The sequence below is a fragment of the Homo sapiens genome, chromosome 16 (assembly GCF_000001405.40).
Source record: "Homo sapiens chromosome 16, GRCh38.p14 Primary Assembly".
NCBI classification, from domain to species: Eukaryota; Metazoa; Chordata; class Mammalia; order Primates; family Hominidae; genus Homo; species Homo sapiens.
In genome coordinates this window covers 84,299,899-84,322,288 of record NC_000016.10, presented here as the reverse complement: position 1 = coordinate 84,322,288, position 22,390 = coordinate 84,299,899, and the positions used below count along the sequence as shown (strand labels likewise).

The window sequence follows — 22,390 nt, the reverse complement described above, 5'->3', positions numbered from 1 at the left end:
TATTGCTAAGTGTCAGCCCCCTGAGAACAAGGCTAGGGGGAATTCCACTTACAGTTCCATTTGGAAGCCTCAAATCGTTCATTTGGGAGGGGAAGCTCACACACACACACACACACACACACACACACGCACACACACACACAGGCTCTGAGGCTGGTGGACAGTCTTGGAATTCCAGCTCTTCCAGCTCTGCATCTTTTGGGTAAATTCCTGAACTCATATCCTCCCTTTACGAAGACAGGGATGATGGTGGCACACATTCACTGAGGACCTACAGTGGGCCAGGTGCTATTCTAAGCACTTCATACGTGTTTCTCTCACTCAAGCCCCATAACTACCCCATGAAGTAGTCACTATGGTTACCATCGCCATCTCTATTTTACAGATCAAGGAACTGAGGCTAAGAGAGGTTGGGTGACCTGCTCAAGGCCACGGAGGAAGAAAGTTACAGGCTTTGGACTTCTTTCTGTGGTTCTGAGCCTGCACTCTGAAACCTATGCAGCACTGCCTCCTGGTTCTACTTCTCCTTTTGCAGGCTTGCAGCAAAGCTTAATTTAAAGAGAGCACTCCAAAGGTGCATGTTAACAGTAGGCATCACTGGTGTGGTCACCACTGAATGACTGACCCTCTTTGCTTAGCTCTGTCTTGAAATGGGAATTTTTTTAACTGGTTTGAACCCTTAAGAACTAGTTTGACTTGGTTTGACCTTGGTCTTAGACATCATAGGGCTGAATGAAAAGATCAGGGGATGAAAAAGACAAGTGCCCAAGGCATTCCTATTATGCCGTCATTATTATAAATGGTGGCATAGCCCAACGAACTCACAACTCGCCCCACAGCTCTCTTTTGGAAAAGGCTATCCCTTCCACACTCCAGCAGCCTCACAGTGGCTGGCAGGCCCTTGCGGTTTTACCTCCAAAGGACCATACACCCCACCCACCCACGGCAGGATTGAGTGTCTAGAGACAAGCAGTGATAAAACAGTGAAGGTTGTTTACTGTGCTTGTGAATTGATGGACACTCTACACAGATTAACTCACTCCTCAAAGAGCCCTGTGAAGTACCTCAAGTATTATGAACCCATTTTACAGAAAAGGCAAATGAGGCCTGAAAAGGTTATGTTATTTGCTGCCCACAGCAGTAAGGGGCTGAGTAGCTGTGGCAGCCCAGGCTATCTGGCTGGAGAAGCCACCCTATAACCCCAAACAAAGCCCTGCAAATAGCAAGTGGAATGTAGAGGAAACCAAAAAGGCATCTCTTTGTTTCAAAGCCTTTTGTAGATAATTTCTTCAAAGTTCAGGATTCCGGGATTTGCATCACTTTATCTGCAATGATAATGACATTAAATGCATGACTGATTTTACGTCTATGCCTTTCTTGAAACACTTCAGAGAAAAACATTCTCAAATCAGAAAAAAAAAGAGGTTTTGGCAGATCATGCACTCCCCAGTATACTTTCGGCAAATAGGGTCACTGTAATTATCACCAATCTTGTCTGAGGGTCCTGTCCTTAGCTATTAGGGCTATGAGATGCCGAAGCGGGGACAGGGGCCCCTGGGTGTGGTCTCAGTCTGACTGACACTGACTTTGACAAGGTGAACCTGGCCACCCTGAAGTCCCAGATTCCTGGCTCACCACACAGTTCATCCAAACTCCATGCCAAAAAGCACATTGAAGTCTTTCAACTTGATTGCCTTGAGTGGGGTTCGAGATGGTTTTAGATACCACCAGGAATCGCTGTGCCATTGTTCTTTCTTTTCTTGGGAAAATTATGCCAATGAGAGCAACACAATTCACTCATCTATTTATTGCCTTTGTGTCCAAAGACGAACACAAATTAAGTCAAACTGAACAGTCCTGGCAGAAGTTCTGGAAGTTAAGGATTCTCAGACAATTCTAATTCAATGCAGTTTGAAAACAGATACAGATGCTTCTTGACTTACAATGGAGTTATGTACTGATATACCCCCTACAAGCTGAGAATATCTTAAGTCAAAATGCACTGAACACAGTTAACCTACTGAACACCATACCTTAGCCGAGCCTACCTTAACTGTGCTCAGAACACTTACATTAGCCTAGAGTTGGGCAAAGTCATCTAACACAAAGCCTATTTTATAATAAAATATTGAATGTGTCGTGTAATTTGATTACCATACTGAAAGTGAAAAACAGAATGGTTGGATGGGAACTTGAAGTACAGTTTCTACAGAATGCATGTTGCTTCTGCACCAGCGTAAAGTCTAACAATCTTAAGTTGACCATCGTAAGTCGGGGTCCATCTACACATACGTGGATATAAAACATCCAGTGCTTACTGACCACCTACTATTCCTTAGGGCTGCTCCGACTGCTCTGCACTTATGATTTCAGTCACGCCCCACAACAGCATGTAGTAGCCCCATTTTACAGATGAGGAAACTGAGGCTCAGAGATAGGAAGAAATTAACCCCAGTGTCGCCCAGCTGGGAGGTGCAGAGCTGGGGTTTGCAGCCAGTCTGCTGGCTCAAGAGCTTCGGTCACATGCTAGTGTGACAGGGAAAGGGTAGGGGCCATGAAAGAAGGAGCCGGGCAGGGGGAAGATGTGAGGAGCTCTCAGTCAGGCCCAGGTGCTGGGGCTGCTTCCTGGGGCAGGTCGTCCATGCGGGTGAGAGGCGCTTACAGGGAGAAGGGGACTGGGGCAGGAGCCAGGATCAGGGCTGGGGTGCCACACTCACCTGCTTGCCGGCGCTGCTTGACGCACTGCCCACGGTTGGGGATACCTTCGGCCACGTCACCTGGGCTCAGGATGTGGCACTCATAGCCCGAGGGACAGAGCAGGGGTTCGGCCCCATCCTCCGTGGTGCTGCACGCCTCTGCTGCAGGAGGGACACACGCTGGGGTCTAGAAGGCCGACTCCCAGGACAGGTGCACATGCTAGGGTCTAGAAGGCAGACTCCCGGGACGGGTGCAGGGAACGCACCTCACCCAGAGAGGCGGCCTCGCCTCTGTACCCCAGGTTCCAGGCTAGGCCCTGGGTCTCACTCAGCGGCATGTGGCACACGTGCACACCCACAAACACGCACACAAACACAGGCAGTCCAAGCTCACCTGATCCCAAACATACTCTCACAGGCTCAGCAACATCCATATAGACATGTTCACGGATACACCCTGAAACACACACTCAGCCCTACAGTCGCATGGGGACACAGACATTTACACAAGCAAGTCAGACGCACAAATACACACAGACATATACGCACGCATCCCCACACACAAATCCTGCACACACATATCCACACCCACATACACACACGCTTACCCACACATGTACACTCACAATACAGTCACACACTTTTGCATGCACACACACACACACACACACACACACACACAAATATTCAGCCACAGGCACAAGGACAGCCACACAGTTGCATATACGGCCGCACACTCTAGCGGACACAGTCACACAACACACAGATGGACGTGGAGTCAGAAGCACAGCCGCAGGTGTGCAAGGGTGCCCGCTCGCACCTCCTAGGCCTCCAGGCCCCCGACCTGCATGCTGTTCCTTCCAGAAATTGCCCTCTGCCTCCTGGTACCTCCCCCACCCCCAGGGAGGCTTCATCATTAGAGAGCGGTGAACCCCCTAGAATTCTAGGAATTTGAAAACCAACCCTAAGCCCCCTCCCCTTCAATTCTCCATCCAGGAGGAGGCTCCATTCTTGGGGAGAGTCGAAGCCCTTATTCTGTACTGGGCTTTGATTCTGGCCAAGCCCCCAGCCATCAGCCCTTCTTCGCTGGGGTGGGGAGGATCAAAGAGGGCTGAGTGTTTGGCTGAAGGGCCCGTGCATGGGGGACAGCCGGCCTGGTGCTGCCAGCTTTCTGGAAGCAGCTGAGAAGGAGGGATCGAGGCTTGGATGTAGGGTCTGGGCTTTACCCGGCAGGTACCTTGTAACACCTCCTCAGGGCCATCCAGGAGCCAGCCATTGCCACCAAGCCATCGAGGTTTCGGCTGCACCAGCCAGTCTAAGACTAACACAATACGGGGTCAGATCAGGGCCCTCCTCAAGCAGCTGAGAAACGCCCAGGCTTGGGGGCTGGGGGCACCCCAACTTCATGACAGCACAGAGGCTCCCCATGGGAGAAATAACTATGGTTCCTGGCACACCTTCACCCTTTGCTTTTAGTGATAGAACCTTTCACTGTGGGCTGGGCACTGGGCCACAAAGCTGGGGACTAGCCTTCCCTGCCTCCCTTGCAGCTACAAAGATGTGAGCAGCAGTGACCATGCAACTTCCTGTCTCACCCTCCAATCGGGGCTCTCTGCTCCTCTCCCTCCCTCTTTTCCTTCCTGCAGGCTGGGGGCCATTCTGACCATGTGGACAAGGACATCAGTCAGACTGCAGAGTGGCAAGAAGGAAGGAAGCTGGGTCCCTAGATGGCTTTGCGAGCAGAGCTACCTGCCTACCACAAATGTCTGTCTCTGCACTAATAGCTGAGAGAGAAGAAAATGCCTCACAGGTTGGGTCCCTGTATTTATGGGTCTTTTTGTTGCAGCAGCATAGCCTGTTCTCTAACTAATACTTTATTTTTTTAATTTTTAGGTTCGGGGGTACACATGCAGGTTTGTTGCACAGGTAAATTGTATGTCACTGAAGTTTGGTGTATGGGTGAAGTTTGGTGTACAGGTGATCCCATCACCCAGGTATAACCAATATACCTGGTTTTAACAGAAAGAGTCACCCACACAGTTTATGGGAAGGCCTTCAAAAGGCAGGGGTCGAAAACTCAAATGCCTCTAGGGGACAGGAAAACAGACCAGGCAGGGCCACAGCAAAGCAGAGAGTGCCTCCTGCCTGGATGAATCAGCTGCTGGTTAGCCCTGACCAGTCATTTCCAATGCTCCCAGACTGTTTTATTTTTTTTCTTACTGTAAGTTCTTATTCTATTTATTTATTTACTTCTTATTTATTTATTTATTTATTTATTTATTTATTTATTTATTTATTTTGAGACAGAGTCTTGTTCTGTCACCCAGGCTGAAGGGTAGTGGCACGATCTCAGCTCATTGCAACCTCTGCCTCCCAGGTTCAGGCAGTTCTCCTCTCTCAGTCTCCCGAGTAGCTGGGATTACAGGCATGTGCCACCACGCCTGGCTAATTTTTGTATTTTTAGTAGAGATGGGGTTTTGCCATGTTGCCCAGGCTGGTCTTGAACTCCTGGCCTCAAGTGATCCACCCCCTTCGGCCTCCCAAAGTGCTGGGATTACAGGAGTGAGCCACTGCACCCGGACTGTAAGTCTGTATTTTTTTCTTTTTTTTTTTTGAGACAAAGTTTCACTCTTGTCGCCCAGGCTGGAGTGCAATGGCGCAATCTTGGCTCATTGCAACCTCTGCCTTCCGGGTTCAAGCGAGTCTCCTGCCTCAGTCTCCCAAGTAGCTGGGATTACAGGCACGCATCACCATGCCTGGCTAATTTTTGTATTTTTAGTAGAGACGGGTTTTTGCCATGTTGGCCAGGGTGGTCTAGAACTCCTGACCTCAGGTGATCTACCCGCCTTGCCCTCCCAAAGTGCTGGTATCACAGGCATGAGCCACCACACCCGGCCAAGTCTGTATTTTTAAAAATAGAAATCTTCTGGTTTTTAAGTGTTGACAAGTAATTTTAAAACTTTTTTTACTAATGATGATGATGATGATTATTCTACAGAGATAGGCGGTCTCCCTATGTTGCCCAGGCTGGTCCCAAACTCCTGGCCTCGCGTGATCCTCCTGCTTTGGCCTCCCAAAGTGCTGGGATTACAGGTGTGAGCCACCGTGCCTGGGCAGAAAACTTTAAGCATGTTGGAGATCAAAACTGTTCTGGGATCACATTTGCTTGTGACCTCTGCATTCGTTTGACTCCAAAGTAAGACAAAAATAAAAATTACTAATATTTATCTTTATAAAGAGAATAGAAAAATAATTAGCATCTTTTAAAGTATATTGATGGGTACTGGTAAAAATGCTGGTTAGCTTTTTCTGTAAAGGAGCACTCGCTGATTATACTGATTATAATGACATGGAAGTTGGAACAGCAGAGAAAGGAGCCAGCAGTCTGTGACCTCCAAAACAGGAATGACGCGATGGTTCTTCAGCCTCTATACGCAACCTTTCGGTTCTTCCCTCCTTTCCACCACCACATCAGACCACGTGTTAGGAAACATTTTCAGGTGGGAAACGTAGTAATATGTGCTGTTTGTATTCTCTTTTGCCTTGATCAAAGGCTTCTGAGCAGCAGGGAAATAAGCAAATGTTTGGAGTAGTGAAACTTGGTCCGGGCTCCCCATTACTCTAGTTGAAGACCCTTAAAGGCCTGGTGGCCCTGGGGTCTCAGCTCTTCATGACCTCACTGGAACTACCTGGGATCACCTCCCAAATAAACAACCTGGGCCCAAGTCCTTGTCTCTGGGTCTGCTTTGGACAGACCCAAATCCAGATGGCAATGAAGAAGTAAGGTGCCTGGAACAGGGCCTGAGTTAGACCAGTGTTTCTCAATGCAGAGCGATTTTGTTCCCCAGAGAGCATTTAGGAAAGATTAGAGACATTTTTGGTTGTCACAACTTGGGGTAGAGGTTGCTACTGGCATCTGGTGGGGAAGGGCCAAGGAAGCCGCTGACCATCCTACAGTGCACGGGAGAGCGCCCCCCTGCCCAGCAAGTAGAATCAACCAATCCCAAATGTCAATATGCCAAGATTGTGAAATCTGGTGTTAGACAGCATTGTTGTTATTACTCACTAGTAGTATGATTGCTCTTCCTGCTGGCTAGTGAATGAATGAATGAGTGAATATTTATTGAGTATTATATGCCCAGAGACCGTTTTAGATGCTGGGGTTACAGCAGTGAATGAAAGACAAACTCCCTGCCCTGTGGGGCTGACCTTCAAGTGGGGAGAGAACAGTCAATGAACAAACAAGTAAAACACAGTCTTCCAGATTACGCTACAGAGAAAAATTAAACAGGGATGGAGGGTTTAAAAATGGCCAAGGAGGGGCTGTCATTGAGAGAGGGAAATCTTTCCTGAAAAGTGGCCTTTGGAAATAGGTCTAAAGGAGGCAAGGAAGTGAGCCATGGGATGTCTGGGGGAGGATATTCCTGGCAATGAAGGACCCCACACGTGGGTACAGGTGCCAGGGCAGGGGCTCCACATTCCCACACTCACGGCCTAAGGCAATGAACACTTCTCTACAGTCAGACAACTGGATGGAAACTGCAGGTCTGCCTGCTGTGTGACCTTGGGCAAATGATTCAGCTTCTCTGAGCTTCAGTTGTGACACAGGGCTGATAACAGTCATCTCATCAAGCTGTGTGAGCGTGAAACGAGATGATGTATGAAAAGGCTATTGGGAATGCCATGTACAGTTGTATCATCTGTGCACTGCTCAAAAGCACCTGCTATAGGCAGGAGGCAAGGCTAGAATCCCTATGTCAGGTCACATTCCAGAGGAAGGGGCACCATTTTTGATAAGTCCACCCAGAGGGGAGTGCCTTTATGTGCTTGTCCACCATGAGGGGCAACATTTAGGTTTTCTTATGAAGGCTGAGTAGGAGGCTGCCTGGCCTGGAGCAGCGGCCAGTTCCTGCCCAGAGGCAGTACTGAAATAGTCCCTGTCTGTCTTGATGAGCATTATAAGACTGTAATTATGAGCATGATTAAGTGTGCTGAGTCCCCTGTCATCGCTGTGACCTCACCCCAAAGAAAACAAAGTGAGGTCATCCTTGCCATCTCTGACTCTCCTCTCAGCCTTGGGAGGAGGGGCTGGGCCACCTTCTCGAGCCGCCTTCCCTAATTAAGGCCCATGGGAACCCACAGCCTCTCGTGGAAGGTACAGTCCAAACAGCTGTTGTTATCACCCTGAGCAGAGCCGAGGGTGGAGAAGACTTCCTTGCCGCAAATCCTACCCGCTTAGGGGCACATTTTCCCCACCCAAGGGCACATTTTCCCCAGGAAATAGCTACTTGTCTACCCTACTCCCCACTTACTGTCCCCGACGGGGTCACCTCCTTCCCTTCCCAAACCTTCTCTTCAAAAGGGATCTGAAACTCCGTCCTGCCAATGATGAATCCCTGAACATTGTTTCTCCCCGAGAGGTTGGCATCGTGATTCAACACACATCTCATTATCTGCTCCCAGCCCCGCGCAGTGCTGAGCACTTTGGAGTGGCAGGTCCACCGTGAGCTGCACGTTGTCTTTTCTTTTCTTTTTCTTTCTTTTTTTTTTTGAGACAGAGTCTCACTTTGTCACCCACGCTGGAGTGCAATGGCACAACCTTGGCTCACTGCAAGCTCCACCTCCTGGGTTCAAGTGATTCTCCTGCCTCAGTCTCCCAAGTAGCTGGGATTTGAGGCTCCTGCCACCACGCCTGGCTAATTTTTGTATTTTTAGTAGAGACGGGGTTTCAGCATGTTGCCCAGACTGGTCTTGAACTCCTGACCTCAGGTGATCCACCCATTTCACAGGAGAGGAGACTCAAGAAAGTGACAGCTGGCCGGTGGATCTGAAGCCACGCACCCGCTCCTCTCTGGGGCACGCCCCATCTGGATTGCTAAGCTCCTGGTCTCCACCTCAAATACCCCAGGGCCAGGCATGAGAAGTGTGGCGGGCCTGGTGGGTTGATGGGGTGAGTGGGAAGCTAGAGGACACCTCCTCATCCAGGGGCACCTGAGGTTCCAGCTGGTGGCAGCCCAGGGAACATGGTCCGGTATTTTAAAGAAAAGCCTCGAATCTTGATCTTTTAAATGAGAAATCCCACTGCACCCGCATCCTATCAGCGGGCATTTTCCCGGGAATGGGTGTCTGCTGGACTGTGGCTCCCTGGAGGCATCTAGGGTCCCTGCCCCCATCCCATTTTCATAGGAAGTGGCATTTTCTCTGGAAGGGCATCTCCTACAACGCAAGTCCCCAGGGGCAGTGGGACACACAGCAGCTGCACAGCAGCGCCACGCCTGCTCAAGGAGCGCCCGTCCCAGTTCACAGGTGCGCAGTGGAGGCGCCCGAGACCCGCCCAGGTGGCCCAGCTTTAAGCCCAGCTCCTTTCTTCCCCTCCCCCGGGACAGCTCTGTTCACCTGTCCTCCTCCCTCAGCCCCCTCCCTCGGGCCCAGGACCTACCTGGCGGGGGCGGCACAGCTTCTAGGCAGGCGTAGGCGCATCCGTTGTAGCAGCAGCGCCGGTGCCGCGGGCACTCGGAGTCCGCCTGACAGCGCGCGGCCTGGCAGGCGCCGGGGGGCAGCGTCCGCGGAGGCGGCGGGCAGCGGTCTGCTCGGGGCTGCCGGGGGCCGCCGGGCGCGCCCGCCTCCTCGGCCTGCGGGGAGAGGGCGGTGTCAGCAGCTCTGGGGCGCGCGTTCGAGTCCCGGCGCCACCCGGAGCTTGCAAGGGGGTGGGCAGTGCGCCGGGCCTCTCTGAGCCTGCGTTTCCTCTTGTGAGAAACAGCAAGCAGGCAGAGCCAGCCTCGGAGGGCGGCTCAGAAGGTCAGAAGATACCATGTATCTTTTTATAACAGTCGGCACGAAATAACTGAAAGCCCAGAGCAAAAGGATAAGCAAATCTTGGTGTGTTTGCTGAAGGACAATTACTTAAGTATCTACCCGGTGTGAGAGAGAGATGATACATAATACATAATATATGTGGTATATATGTGTATATACATATATGTCTGCATGTATACATATACGTACACACATATGTCTATATGTACATATGTATATGTACATATGTGTGGATTTCTTAGAATCCATGTTTATATAGAGCTTTGAGAATTTACAAATTATACACAGAATCATTAAATCCATGCAACAACATCGCTACATCTCAGAAAATAAAGAAAGGAAAAAAGCCAGATCAAAAGAGAACACCACAGTGGGATTCCACTTATATTTGCAGCTCAAAAACAGGCCAAGCTGATGTCTGGCATGAGAAGTCAGGAATCTGGTGGGCAGTGACTGGCTGGGAACACGTGGTCTTGGGACTGGCTCTGTTCTGTTTCTTGGTCTGGGGGCTGGTTACATGGTGTGTTTATTTTGTGGGAATTCATGGAGCTGAACACGTAGGATTTATACGCTTTGAAGTATTTTTTGTTTGTTTGTTTTGTTTTGTTTTTGAGACGGAGTTTCGCTCTTGTTGCCCAGGCTGGAATGCAGTGGCGCGATCTCAGCTCACCACAACCTCCACCTCCTGGGTTCAAGCGATTCTCCTGCCTCAGCCTCCCGAGTAGCTGGGATTAGAGGCATGTGCCACCACACCCGGCTAATTTTGTATTTTTAGTAGAGACAGGGTTTCTACATGTTGGCCAGGCTGGTCTGGACCTCCCTACCTCAGGTGATCCGCCTGCCTCAGCCTCCCAAAGTGCTGGGATTACAGGTGTGAGCCACCGCGCCTGGCCCGAAGTATTATGTTTTAATAAAAAGTTCAAAAATAAGATATAGGGGCCAGGTGCTGTGGCACACAAGCGTATAATCCCAGCATTTCCAGAAGTCAAGGTGGGTGAATCACTTGAGCTCAGAAGTTTTGAGACCAGGCTGGCCAACATAGCGAAACCCCTTCTCCACTAAAAAAAAAAAAAAAAAAAAAGCAGTCAGGCATGCTCATTCTCTCCTGTAGTCCCAGGTACTTGGGAGGCTGAGGCGGGAGGATGGTTTGATCCCAGGAGGTCAAGGCTGCAGTGAGCTGTGATCGCACTACTCCCCTCCAGCCTGGGCAATAGAGTGAGACCCTGTTAAAAAAAAAAAAAAAAAAAAAGTCCAGGCGCAGTGGCTCACACCTGTAATCCCAGCACTTTGGGAGGCCAAGGTAGGTGGATCATGAGGTCAGGAGATCGAGACCATCCTGGCTAACACGGTGAAACCCCGTCTCTACTAAAAATACAAAAAAAAGAAAAAAAATTAGCCGGGCGTGGTGGCGAGCACCTGTAGGAGAATGGTGTGGACCTGGGAGTCGGAGCTTGCAGTGAGCCAAGATCGAGCCATTGCACTCCAGGCTGGGTGACAGAGTGAGACTCCATCTCCAAAAAAAAAAAAGATATAGTACTGTACTTAACATATAGGAATATGGGTGAGTGACCAATAAGATCAATATTTTAAAGGTAAGACCGAGAAAGTTTAAGCCACCAGGCAAACTGCCCTGGGTCCCCTGACACCAGACTCCATCCAGGCCCAGTAACACTCTTCTGCTTCTATGAAAATGGGGTGCGTGGTGAGCAGTTTGTGCTCATTTGCACACACACACAGAGTTAGATACAGGATAGATTAATTGGAAAAAAACCACCCTGGCTTGCGCTGCCTCCTGGCCTCTGCCTAAACTGTTCCTTTAATCTAAAATGCTTCACCTACTTACCTCCCCACAAGTCCTCCCCCAACATATTCAAAATCTGGCCCCCTTGTGCTGGCCCAGTACATAGGGCATATCTGCAAATTGGAATAGTAGACAGCCATGAAAACCTGCCTTTAAGGTGTTGGCAAAAAATGAAATAAGACTCAATGTGCCACATATGAAAGATCGCCAGGATATGGCGGCTCATGAAGAAAACCACGGTTCGGAACAGCGTGTAGGCTCTGCCCCATCTGTGTTTTTAAAAAAATGCACACAGATGTAACATATATATATCTATTTGCATAGGCTGAGAACGTTTTTGGAAGGATACACAAGATCACACAAGAAACCATTAGGAAAGGTGCCTTTGGAGAGAAGAATAGGGTGTAAAGCTGAGAGAGATTTCTTTCTATTGTACACCCTTCTGCAGTGGTTCAATGTCTTTTTACCATGTACACATTCTTCTTCAATTTAAAGGCAGTCTCCATGCAGAGCGAGGGCACATCATCCAAGTCCTGGCTTAATCTAGACTTGACTCACAGAACCTCACAAAGCTACTGAAGCTGCTTTGATGACAGTGTGGGCGCCGTCACCTCCAGGCCTTTGCCCGTGCTGATCCTCTGCCGAATGCCCGTTCCTTCAGGTCTTCCAGAGGGACCATTCCCCGAGACTCAAATCAGCGCTCAAGGCTGGGATGTGCTTCGGTGACACCAGCCCTCCCAGGCCAGGGTTAGGGCCACACCACCCCCGCTTCTATGTCCCACACCCACCCTCCCTTGTCACTCTTTCTCGGTGTCTTAATAGAAATCCGCCATCGCATTTAACCAGTGAGCGACCCCTTCAAGGGAGGGCCTCGAGCCTCCTGTGTCTCCTCCTGCACATACAGTTGGCTGAATAAAGGTCCCCAAAGACACCAGGCCCTACTCCCTGGAATCCTAAATGCAAAGGAAAAAGGGTCTTTGCAGACGCAATTAGGTTAAGGATCTTGACATGGGGAGATGATTCTGCATTTTCCAGTGGGCCCTAAATCCAGTCACAAGTGTCTGAGAAGAGGGGAGCAGAGGGAGATCACACACACACACACACACAAGCACGCCCCCCCCACACACACATGTACACACGCACGCACACACACATGCACACAAGAAAGTCATGTGAAGAGGGAGGCAGAGATGGCGTCTACAGACCAAGGAGTGACCATGATTGCCAGCAGCCACCGGAACAGGGATTGGCAAGGAAGGAACCTCTGGAGTTGGGGGGGCGCGGCTCTGCTGACCCCTTGATCTCAGTCCAGTGAAGCTGATGCTGAACTTCTGGCCCCAGAACCATGAGACAATTCATTTCTGTTGGCTTAACCACCCCTCCCACCCCAGTTTGTGGTCATTTGTTACGGCGGCCCCTGGAAACTTGATATCTGTCCCTCTGCCAGGCACATTCTATAAATGAACCCCACCCCAGGCCCAAGTCCCCATCAGTGCCTCCACAGTGGCCTCGTCCCTGGCCTCGATGCCTCCAAATCCATCCATTCTCCAAACTGCAGCCCAAAGAGGCTTTATGAAAGGCACCTGTGGATTTGGTCACCTCTGTGCTCCAAGGCCCCAGAGGCTTCCCAGCACCCTCGGGACAAAGTCCCAGCTCCCCACTCGACCTCCGAGCCCTGCGCCAACCAGGTACATGTTACTTTTTCGATTTAATAACTTAGATATAGGATACATTGGCCTCATCTCATCGCCCCGACCCTCCTTGTCCTTACATGCCAGCAAACTGCCCTCCCTCCTCCCCTCGCCCTCCAAGCACATTCATCTCTTCAAACCGTTTCCTCCAGCTGAGCTTGTCTCATCCGGCAGAGCAGACGGGCAACCAGAGCGGGCTCCACAGCTAACGGCCTTGGTTCAAATCCCGGCTCTAGGGCTTAAATCCTCTCTGCCACTCACTTGCTGTGTGACCTTGGGCAAGCATCAGTTTCTCCCTACAGAACTTCCCTCCTGGGGTATCCTGAGTCTGCACCCAGGATGGTGTCTACACCCAGGATGGCATCTATGCCCAGGCTGGTGTCTACACCCAGGATGGCATCTATGCCCAGGCTGGCGTCTACACCCAGGCTGGCATCTACACCCAGGCTGGCATCTACACTGAGGATGGCATCTACACCCAGGCTGGCGTCTACACTCAGCATGGCGTCTACACCCAGGCTGGCATCTACACTCAGGATGGCGTCTACACCCAGGCTGGCATCTACACTCAGGATGGCATCTACACCAAGGATGGCGTCTACACCCAGGCTGGTGTCTACACTCAGGATGGAGTGTACACCCAGGCGGGCATCTACACTCAGGCTGGCATCTAGCACAGTGCCACCGATCATCATTGGCACGTGCTGGTCCTCTGCCTGGAAGGCCTCCCATCAGCTTCAATTGGCCAAATCACCCTTTAGTCCTCAGCTTAAACAGCCTTCTGAGGGCAGCTTTCCCCAGACTCGTCGGGATGTTTCTAGTATGATTCTTCATTTTTAGGCCCTCGCCACCCCACACTGAGAGCAGAGGCTGTGTCTGTCCCTGCCTGGCTGGGACCGAGCGCAGTCCTTCCTGCGTGCCTATCTGGGTAGCTGCAAATTGCACACGGTGTCACCAGTGCCCTGCAGGGGGCACCAGGTCCCTGGGAACAGGTCCGGGCCGGGTGCCCCTGGGAATTGGTGGAATCACCAAGGCCAGAGGTTTTCAGCTGCCCCCAGGGAGCCTCAGGGCCTGAGACTGAGGGCATGAGGGGCAGAGAGCAGGAATGGCCAAGCAGGAGCGGGGGGTGGTGCGGCAGGAAAGCCTGGGAGGGGGGCCCCTGGCCCCCATCCCTGCTTCACCCAGAGAACCCTTCTTTTTACTCTTGTAAACATTGGCTGTTAAATTCACGAAAAGTGAAAATGACCACTAAGCTGGCATTTGGTGGATATGGAGACGAGGCCTTAAGGAGGTGAATGGTTTTCCCCAAAGACAGAGGGGAGACCAGAGCGTGGACCTTTTATCACCTTTTATCACCCCTTTCTCCGCCCAATCTCCCTCACCCCTGTAACCACCACCAATAACTTTCCAGCCGCAGCAGGTGCATAATCCCACGCCATTAGCTCTCAGTTCACTTGCTGCAGAATTAACTACATTGGACCCATGTTGGGGTCCGCAATTTTTAATCCTAATCTAACATGACAGGCGCCCCAGCCTCCTTCGGAGGGTGGTTAAGAATACACCGTACGTCGTCGGGAGGGGGCGGCTTATTTTTCCGCCCAGCTTATTTTTCGATGAAGCCTCATTTATGAAATTTAATGGAACCTGGTGATCAGAAGCAAAACACTTTTCACCCACCACAAATGCCTCCCAGTCCTGGGACTTCCTTAATGGCAGTCCCAGATGGGAGGGTACGCAGAGATCAATTTGAGCTGTGCCGCCGTCTCAGAGGAAAATTCAAATGTCATTTCTCAGAATTTGGAGAGAACAAAGAGATAAGCGCCTTAGAAGCCACATCTCCCGAGTTATTTACTGCGTGACTGAAACAACAGATGGTCGTGAGTGATAAAGCACTGATTTCACTGAGAGGCCCAGATTAAAGGATTACATGTTTTGAAAAATATTTCATGTCACGCAAGGTGACACTCAAAGAGGGTTCTAAACACAGGGCGTTTTCTGGAGTTCTGGGAAATAGCTTTTACTCAGAGACATGAACAGCTTACCCTCCAATTTATCCCTGGCCCCATGGGTTAAAGGAGTTAACAGCCAAGGTTCTTGGCCTAGAGGTCGGACTGGAATTGACTCCCCTGACCCCCTCCACGTCTCTGACCTCTCTTCCAGCACTCCCCTCCTTACTCATTCTCTCCAGCCACCCAGTCCCACCTCTGGGCCTTTGCACTGGCTCTTTCCCCGCCCACCCACCATATCTGCCCGGCTCTCACCTACCTGGGATCTGCTCATACAGCCTTCCCTTCCCCCTCTCCCTGCTTTGTGGAGCTTCACACACCTCATCACCCTTGGGTGGACTGTGTATTATGAACTCATTTGTTTGCTGTTTTTCTCCCTCCTAGGGACAGGAACTTGGTTTTGTTCTTACCTGTGTCCCTGGCTCGTAGAACAGTGCCTGGCACATAGCAAGTACTCAGTAAATATTCTTCGGGTGGAACAAAAGCTGTGATGATGATGATGATGATGAAGATGAGGATGATGGTGGTCAACACACCCTGGCAGTTTGCTGGGCACCCTTCTAAGTGCTTAACATGCATTAACTCGCTGATCTGCACATGGGCCCTGTGCAGTGGGTTCTGCAGAGCAGGGGTCCTGCACAGGTGTGGGGGCAGCCCTTTTGTTTGTGTAAGGCTGTGCTATGGGCAAGCATCATCACACTCCTATGCTCACTTAATGCGGATGTGAATTAGGGGAGTGGGTCTTGATATCCCACACTCCAGAGATGAGGAAGGATGCTTTCAAAATGTAAAGCTGGACTCGGCCATCCTCAGTTTCTGAGGATTCGCTGCTCCTCCTGGCCTTGGAGGCTTCCGCACACTGTTCCTTCTACTCGGAACGCTTCCTAACTCTTTTTCACAGCTGAACCTCCACATCCTTTGGGGCAAGAACTTAGGAGCCATATCCCAAGATGGAAGGGACCGAAGCTCATGATCTCTTATACATCAAAGGCTGCTTTGCACAGGGATTAAGGGCTCAGGTGTAGGAGTCTGACGCGTCTGGGTTTGAACCCCATGGCTGTGCGATCATACAGGAAAATCACTAACGTATCTGAGCGTCATCTGCAAAATGGACACAAAAGTAATACCTGCTGCCGATGTCTGTGGTGAAGATCAAAAGAGACCACACCTGCGTGTGCTCGGCTCAGCACGGGCAATGCTAATCCATAGTTCACCTGATTTTTATTCCTTTTATTATTATTATTATTATTATTATTATTATTATTATTATTATTTTGAGAAAAGGTCTCACTCTGTCACCCAGGCTGGAGTGCAAGGGCACGATCTCAGCTCACTGCAACCTCCGCCTCCCAGACTCAACCAGTTCTCATGCTTCAGCCTCCCAAGTAGCTGGGACTACAGGTGCCCGCCACCACGCCTGGCTAATATTTTGTATTTTTAGTAGAGATGGGGTTTTGCCTTGTTGCCCAGGATGGTCTTGAACTCCTGAGCTCAGGTGATCTGCCTGCTTCAGCCTCCCAAAGTGCTGGGATTACAAGCGTCAGCCACCACGCCTGGCTCCTTTTATTTTTAATCAATGGACTCAGAAGCCTCTCGTCCCATAGTAACTTCATTCTTCATATCTTCCAGTCTTTCTTCATTTCCGCTGTATCCTCCCTCAATTCACTCCCAGATGATTTAGTGAACGCCCACCATCTCCATAGCGTTAGGTTAGATGCTCAGCAGATGCAGAAGAAACCTAAGGAGCTCCAGTCCAGCTGAGGCTGCAGATACACGTACGAGAAACCCACCAGCAACAGTGAAAAGTGGGATTGGATATAACCTCATCATTTCTGGATAAGACCAGGGCAAACAACTCGCAGAGTTCCTAAGAGAAGGGGCCATGCGGAAACAGCCACCCAGCATGTGCAAGAGCACTGCCCTCGGAGGACCACCTGAAGTCGCCTCCAGCCCTCCCCAGTAGGTACCACTGCTGTCCCCATTGCATAGGTGAGGAAACGGAGGCACACAGTCACCATACACAGACACCAGGCTTAGAGCCTGGGCTGTGTGATTCATGCTTATGGCAAGGGAGGCAGCATTTAGTAAGCTCTTACTGTGTGCCAATGCTGTGCTGGGTCCTCACATACTGAATCTTCAGTATCACCCTCTGGGGCTGCTGCTATTCTAAACCCACTTTACTGATGAGGAAACTGAGGCACAAAAAAACTAAAAGCATTTGCCCAAGAGCAAGCAGCTGAGAAGAGTCAGAGGCAGGACTCGAACCTGGGTCTGTCCTACTCCATGGGCGTTCCTGACCCAGGAGCCTGGAACTGGGAGTTGCTTCCCAATGGTGCCTGTCAATTTCTTCCCATTCTTTCAGTCCAGGGGCTCTCTCCCCCTCCCAAAGTGTTCCCTCTGCCCTCCTGTGGCCCAGCCCCAGCTCAGGGTGGAGTCAAAATGGGGGCCCCCAGGTACACATTTGTCCTGGCCCCCTCTTTGCAGCCCTTCCCTCCCAGCTTATGTTGCCTCTCAGATGAAAACAAAATAATGCCACATGAAATCCCTGAGAAAGGAGGACACTCACCCCAGACGGACGACACCTTCCTGAAAACCCCAGAGCAACCCGTGATTTCCAGCTTTTATTTTCATTCCTGCTCAGGGATTGTACAGTAAGTCTATTTCAAAGTAGCCACTGAGCACACATTCATGGTACAACTTAGACAAGAACCCTCCGGTTCTGTATGCCTTACCTGGATAAAAATGATTCCTGGCCGGGCGCGGTGGCTCACACCTATAATCCCAGCACTTTGGGAGGCCAAGGCAGGTGGATCACCTGAGGTCAGGAGTTCGAGACCAGCCTGGCCAATATGGTGAAACCCGTCTCTACTAAAAATACAAAAACTAGCCAGGCGTGGTGGCGGGTGCCTATAATCCCAGCTATTCAGGAGGCTGAGGCAGGAGAATCATTTGAACCACGCAGGCAGAAGTTGCAGTGAGCCAGACGGCACCACTGCAATCCAGCCTGGGTGACAAGAGTGAAACTATATGACCTTTTGTTCATATAGATGAACAAAAATAGATTTGCAAAGCCATTCTGCCACTGATATCCCTAGGAAGCAGGTGGGGAAATGCCCATTTTGGGCTGCAGCAGTGGGAACCCCAATTCAGCAAGTCCAAGTCCAGATTCAATTAAAGCAAACAAGCTGGATGTGCAACCAAAAGAGGCTGGATACATAAGTGAAGGCACAGAGAACACCAGGCAGGCCTTAGAAAGGAAGATGTCGATCCACCATGTTAACATACTTCCCACAGATTATTAAGTGAAAATGCAACATATAAAACAGTGTGAATAAGCCAGACACCAAATAGCACATACTGGATGATTCCATTTCCATGAAACGTCTACAACAGGCAGATCCATAAAGACAGAAAGTGGATTGGTAGTTGCCAGAGGCTGCGGGAAGAGGGAAGGAGGACTGACGGCTAATGGCTGCAGGGTTTCCTGTAGGGTTGATGGGAACGTTCCAAAACTAGGCAGTTAGGACGGTTGCATGACTCTGAGTATACTAAACACCACTGAATTGTACCTTTGAAAGGGTGAATTGTCTGTCATGTGAATTTCATTTCAATAAAAGAAATCTGAATCAGTACGAATAAAATACCACTAAGAGAAAACACGTGTGCTGTGTGTAACTGCTTCATGAAACAATCTAGACAGACACCCCAGAATGTCACCAGAGTTTACATCTTGGAGGAAGAATTCAGATCATTTCTACTAATTTATAACTTTCTGTGTTGCCTGACTTTTTTTTTTTTTTACAGTAAACATCATTCTTTTAATAATCAGTAGAAGAATTTATAAACCACTTCCATTTAGGGAAAAAGAATCCAATCTCCAGAGCTGCCACCAAAGCTACCCACATGCCTCCCTCAGTGCTCACCACCCCCTTCCTTCCACATGCAGGAGCTTTTACCCTTCTTTGGAAAGTTCCAGCAGCTTAGCGGCCAGACCAATAAAAATGCACCCCAGCACTGGTTTGCGTGGTGGAGGAAGAAAGCCAGTTTTCCTCTAAGCATTACTTGCTCTTCCTCTGGAATTTGGACGTCAAACATCTAAAAATATGTCGCTCCCCGGAACAGTGGGCTTAGAGTTCAGCGTGCGTAGATGAATGCCATTTCCTGGTGCCCGGGGCCCTTAACACTGGGCTCTGGGGACAGAATTTGGCACAAGGTTAATGGGACTTCCTCAGAGGGAGGCCAAAAAAAAAAAAAAAAGAAAGAAAGAAATTCACGAGACGGCAAAGTCGACCAAGTCTTCCCAACAATGTCATTGTCAGTCAGTGCACCCGAGAGTCCTCTAGAACTTTCCATCCCTTCTATTCTGTTCCGGAAGGTTTTAACATAATTGATTCATTCATTCAACAGTAAATTCATAATTCCCAGGCCCACTGGGTTTCGGGCGCTGGGCTGGAAATGGGGAGTTCCGAGTTGAACCAGAAGACGTTGGCCCTGACTTCACGTGGCTGTTTCAGGACAAGTCAGAGACACCACACACAACAGCACACAGATAAGGCGAACGAATTGCTTTTTGTGGTCATCTGCAAAAGCAGTTAGAGAGAAACCTAAACAAATCATGCCAATAACAACAACAGAGCTAAATGCTAAGAAGGAAGAGCTGGGCTCTTATGTAAACATTTAAGGGAAATCATAATGGGGCATTCAGGGAGAGGCCTCGGAGGAGATGGGCGTGAAGCTACGATGACCCACGAGCCGGAGTGGGCACCGTGAGCGGACACTTGCTGAGAGGCTGCCTCTCGGTGCTGGGGACACAGAGGACTCACAAGGACTCTATGTGCCATCGCAGAATTCCCGAGAGGTGCCTCAGGTTCTCGCTGCTTTTTAGAAAAATTATTGTGGTAAAATATATATAACATGCAATTTTCCATTTCAGCCATCTTAAGTGTGCGAGTTGGCGGCATTAATTAGACTTACGATGTGTGCAACCACCTCCATGATCTATTTCTGCGGCTTTTCCATCACCCCAGGCAGAACCTCTGTTCTCATCAGACAGCTGCCCCCTATTCCTCCCTCCCCCAGCCCCTGGCAACCAAGAATCTCCTTCCCGTCCCGCTGGATTTGCCTCTTCTGGACGTTGCATCCAAACAGTGTCACACACCCGTGGCCTTTGTGCACTCAGCATCATGTCTTCGAGGTTCATCTGTGCAATGGCGTGTGTCCAGGCTCCGTACCTTTCTATGGCTGAGTTCTAGTCCCCTGAGTGGACAGGTGCGATGTGCTCACCCCATGGGCATCCATCTGCCTCTGCCCTGTGGCTGCGGTGAGTGCTGGCACAGAGGTGTCCTGCTTTCCTGTCTCCCTCTCCCGAGTGATAACCACACAGGGACCTGGGATGCTTCTTTACTCGTTGATTTCCACCTGGAATTTCAGGGCTGGGACCTCAGATGAGGAATCTCAGTCCCAGCGAGGAGAAAGTGATTTGCCTAAGGTCCCCCTCAAAAGTCAGCTATTCATGGACTTTTCATTCCTTCCAGTCCCCCCTCCATGCCAGGTTCTGGGCTAGACACCAGGGTGTGGCCAAGCCTACAGTAAGTTTGCTTCACATCAGTACGACATATCCCCTCTCTCCAGCACCCAGGCAGCTCCGGGGCTTTTCTGGGGTTCTCAACCATGAGCCTTGAAGACCCCCTCCTGGGTGCTGCTGGGGGTTTCCGGAGCCTACTGAGCACCCGCTGACCCCCAAGACGTAGGCATCTTCATAGTCTTGATGATGAAGTCCCGCAGGGTGTGAGCTCACCTGGTTCAAGGAGCAGACAAAGCTCCCAGACTCTGGGGATATAGTGATAGCCCCACTTGTCCCCAGCCAAAACAGCACAGATAAGTCATTCTCTGCAATGGCCTCAGTTTCCTTATCTGTGAAATGTCTCGTTGCCGGTTGCAACCAACAGAAGCTGACTCCCTTGATGCCCAGAGCAGACTGTATTCGTGTCCGAGGGTGCTGCAACAAAATGCCACACGCTGGGGGCTTAAAACAACACAAGTGGATTCTTTCACAGTTCTGGAAGCCAGAAGGCTGAGATCCAGGTGTCTGGCAGGGTTGGTTCCTTTGTGGAGGCTCTAAGGAGAAAACCTTTCAATGTCTCTCCCAGCTTCCAGTGGTGGCTGGCAGTCCCTCATGTTCTCTGGTCCCTCATGTGTCTCTTGTAGATACATCACTCTGACCTCTGCAACCCTCTGTCTTTGCATGGCCTTCTCTCCATGTGTCTCTGATTCTATGTCTCTTCTCCTTTTCCTTTTTTTTTTTGAGATGAAGTCTCACTCTGTCGCCCAGGCTGGAGTGCAATGGCATGATCTTGGCTCACTGCAACGTCCACCTCGCCTCCCAGGTTCAAGTGATTCTACTGCCTCAGCCTCCTGAGTAGCTGTGATTACAGGCATGCACCACCATGCCCAACTAATGTTTGTATTTTTAGTAGAGACAGGGTTTCAGCATGTTGGCCAGGCTGGTCTCGAACTCCTGACCTCGGGTGATCCGCCCACCTCGGCCTCCCAAAGTGCTGGAATTACAGGCGTGGGCCACCATGCCTGGCCCCTTCTCCTTTTCTTATAAGGAACGGGGTTCATATTAAGGAACCACCCACCTCCAGCATGACTTCATCTTATTTTGACTAATTACACCTGTAATGAACCTGTTTCCAAAAAAGGTCACATTCACAAGGATCAGAAGTTAGGGGTTGGATATATCTTTGGGGGGACACAGTTCAACCCACAGCATGGATCCGACAGGATTCGAGTGCAGGGAGTACATTTGGGAGGGGATCCCAGGAAGCCCCAGCTGGGGAGTGGGAAGCTGGGCAGGAAAGGGAAGGCGCCCTTCAGGGAGTGTTAATGAGCAGGTGGCTGCCTGGGCACTAGAGCTCAAACCCAGTGGACCTTGGAGAAACCGTGTGGAACACTCCTCACTCGTGTCCCACCAAAGTTGAGAAGCCAGCTGGGCCATCGGGCTCCAGCTCCATTTGCTCCTACAGGTGTTACCTCCCCGGCACCTTGGCCTGACTGTGTGTGGGCTGAGCAGGCTCCTGCAGCCAGAGAAAGCCTTCAGGCCAGCAGACACAGATGCTTACGGTACAAAGATGAAGGTGAAGGTCAGAACTCATGGAATGGTGAAAGCACAGCTCCAGGCCATCTGCTTCTCCCACTCTTGCTATCTCAGCAAAAAATAAAAGGATGTTTGGAAGGCTCTCAAGAGCTCACAGAAATAATGGGGGAAAGGAGATGGGGAACTGAGGAATGCAAGTTGTGGGCCACTGCTGGCTCCTACAGTCCCCTACTGCTATTAGCACAGGGGGTGCCTCCAGATAGACAATGCAATGCTCCCCT

General features: G+C 50.4%; 1 protein-coding gene across 4 annotated transcripts in view, besides 3 other annotated features; it reads right to left on the bottom strand.

The window, feature by feature from the left end:
• Positions 1-22,390, bottom strand: part of WFDC1 (WAP four-disulfide core domain 1) — a 34,967-nt gene that overhangs the window by 7,556 nt on the left and 5,021 nt on the right. For 2 of the 4 annotated variants that reach the window (NM_021197.4, NM_001282466.2), the window contains exons 2-4: positions 9,136-9,328; positions 3,934-4,017; positions 2,718-2,858 (exon numbers count right to left, since the gene is read on the bottom strand). In NM_021197.4, the coding sequence (NP_067020.2) occupies positions 2,718-2,858; positions 3,934-4,017; positions 9,136-9,328 (418 nt within the window). The remainder of the gene's footprint in view (positions 1-2,717; positions 2,859-3,933; positions 4,018-9,135; positions 9,329-22,390) is intronic. The other 2 variants (NM_001282467.2, XM_047434411.1) reach the window with 2 other exon arrangements.
• Positions 2,303-2,824: an enhancer, noted in NCBI's record as "H3K4me1 hESC enhancer chr16:84353071-84353592 (GRCh37/hg19 assembly coordinates)". NCBI's record gives its function as "activates a minimal SCP1, AML or CMV promoter by ChIP-STARR-seq in naive H9 embryonic stem cells {active_cell/tissue: H9 hESC(naive)}" and the evidence as "EXISTENCE:reporter gene assay evidence [ECO:0000049][PMID:30033119]".
• Positions 7,680-7,838: a silencer, noted in NCBI's record as "fragment chr16:84348057-84348215 (GRCh37/hg19 assembly coordinates)". NCBI's record gives its function as "represses an EF-1alpha promoter that drives an FKBP-Casp9 reporter gene in an ReSE screen in HepG2 liver carcinoma cells {active_cell/tissue: HepG2}" and the evidence as "EXISTENCE:reporter gene assay evidence [ECO:0000049][PMID:32094911]".
• Positions 14,538-15,737: an enhancer, noted in NCBI's record as "BRD4-independent group 4 enhancer chr16:84340158-84341357 (GRCh37/hg19 assembly coordinates)". NCBI's record gives its function as "activates an origin of replication core promoter dependent on BRD2, P300/CBP, MED14 and CDK7 cofactors, and independent of BRD4, by STARR-seq in HCT116 cells {active_cell/tissue: HCT116}" and the evidence as "EXISTENCE:reporter gene assay evidence [ECO:0000049][PMID:35650434]".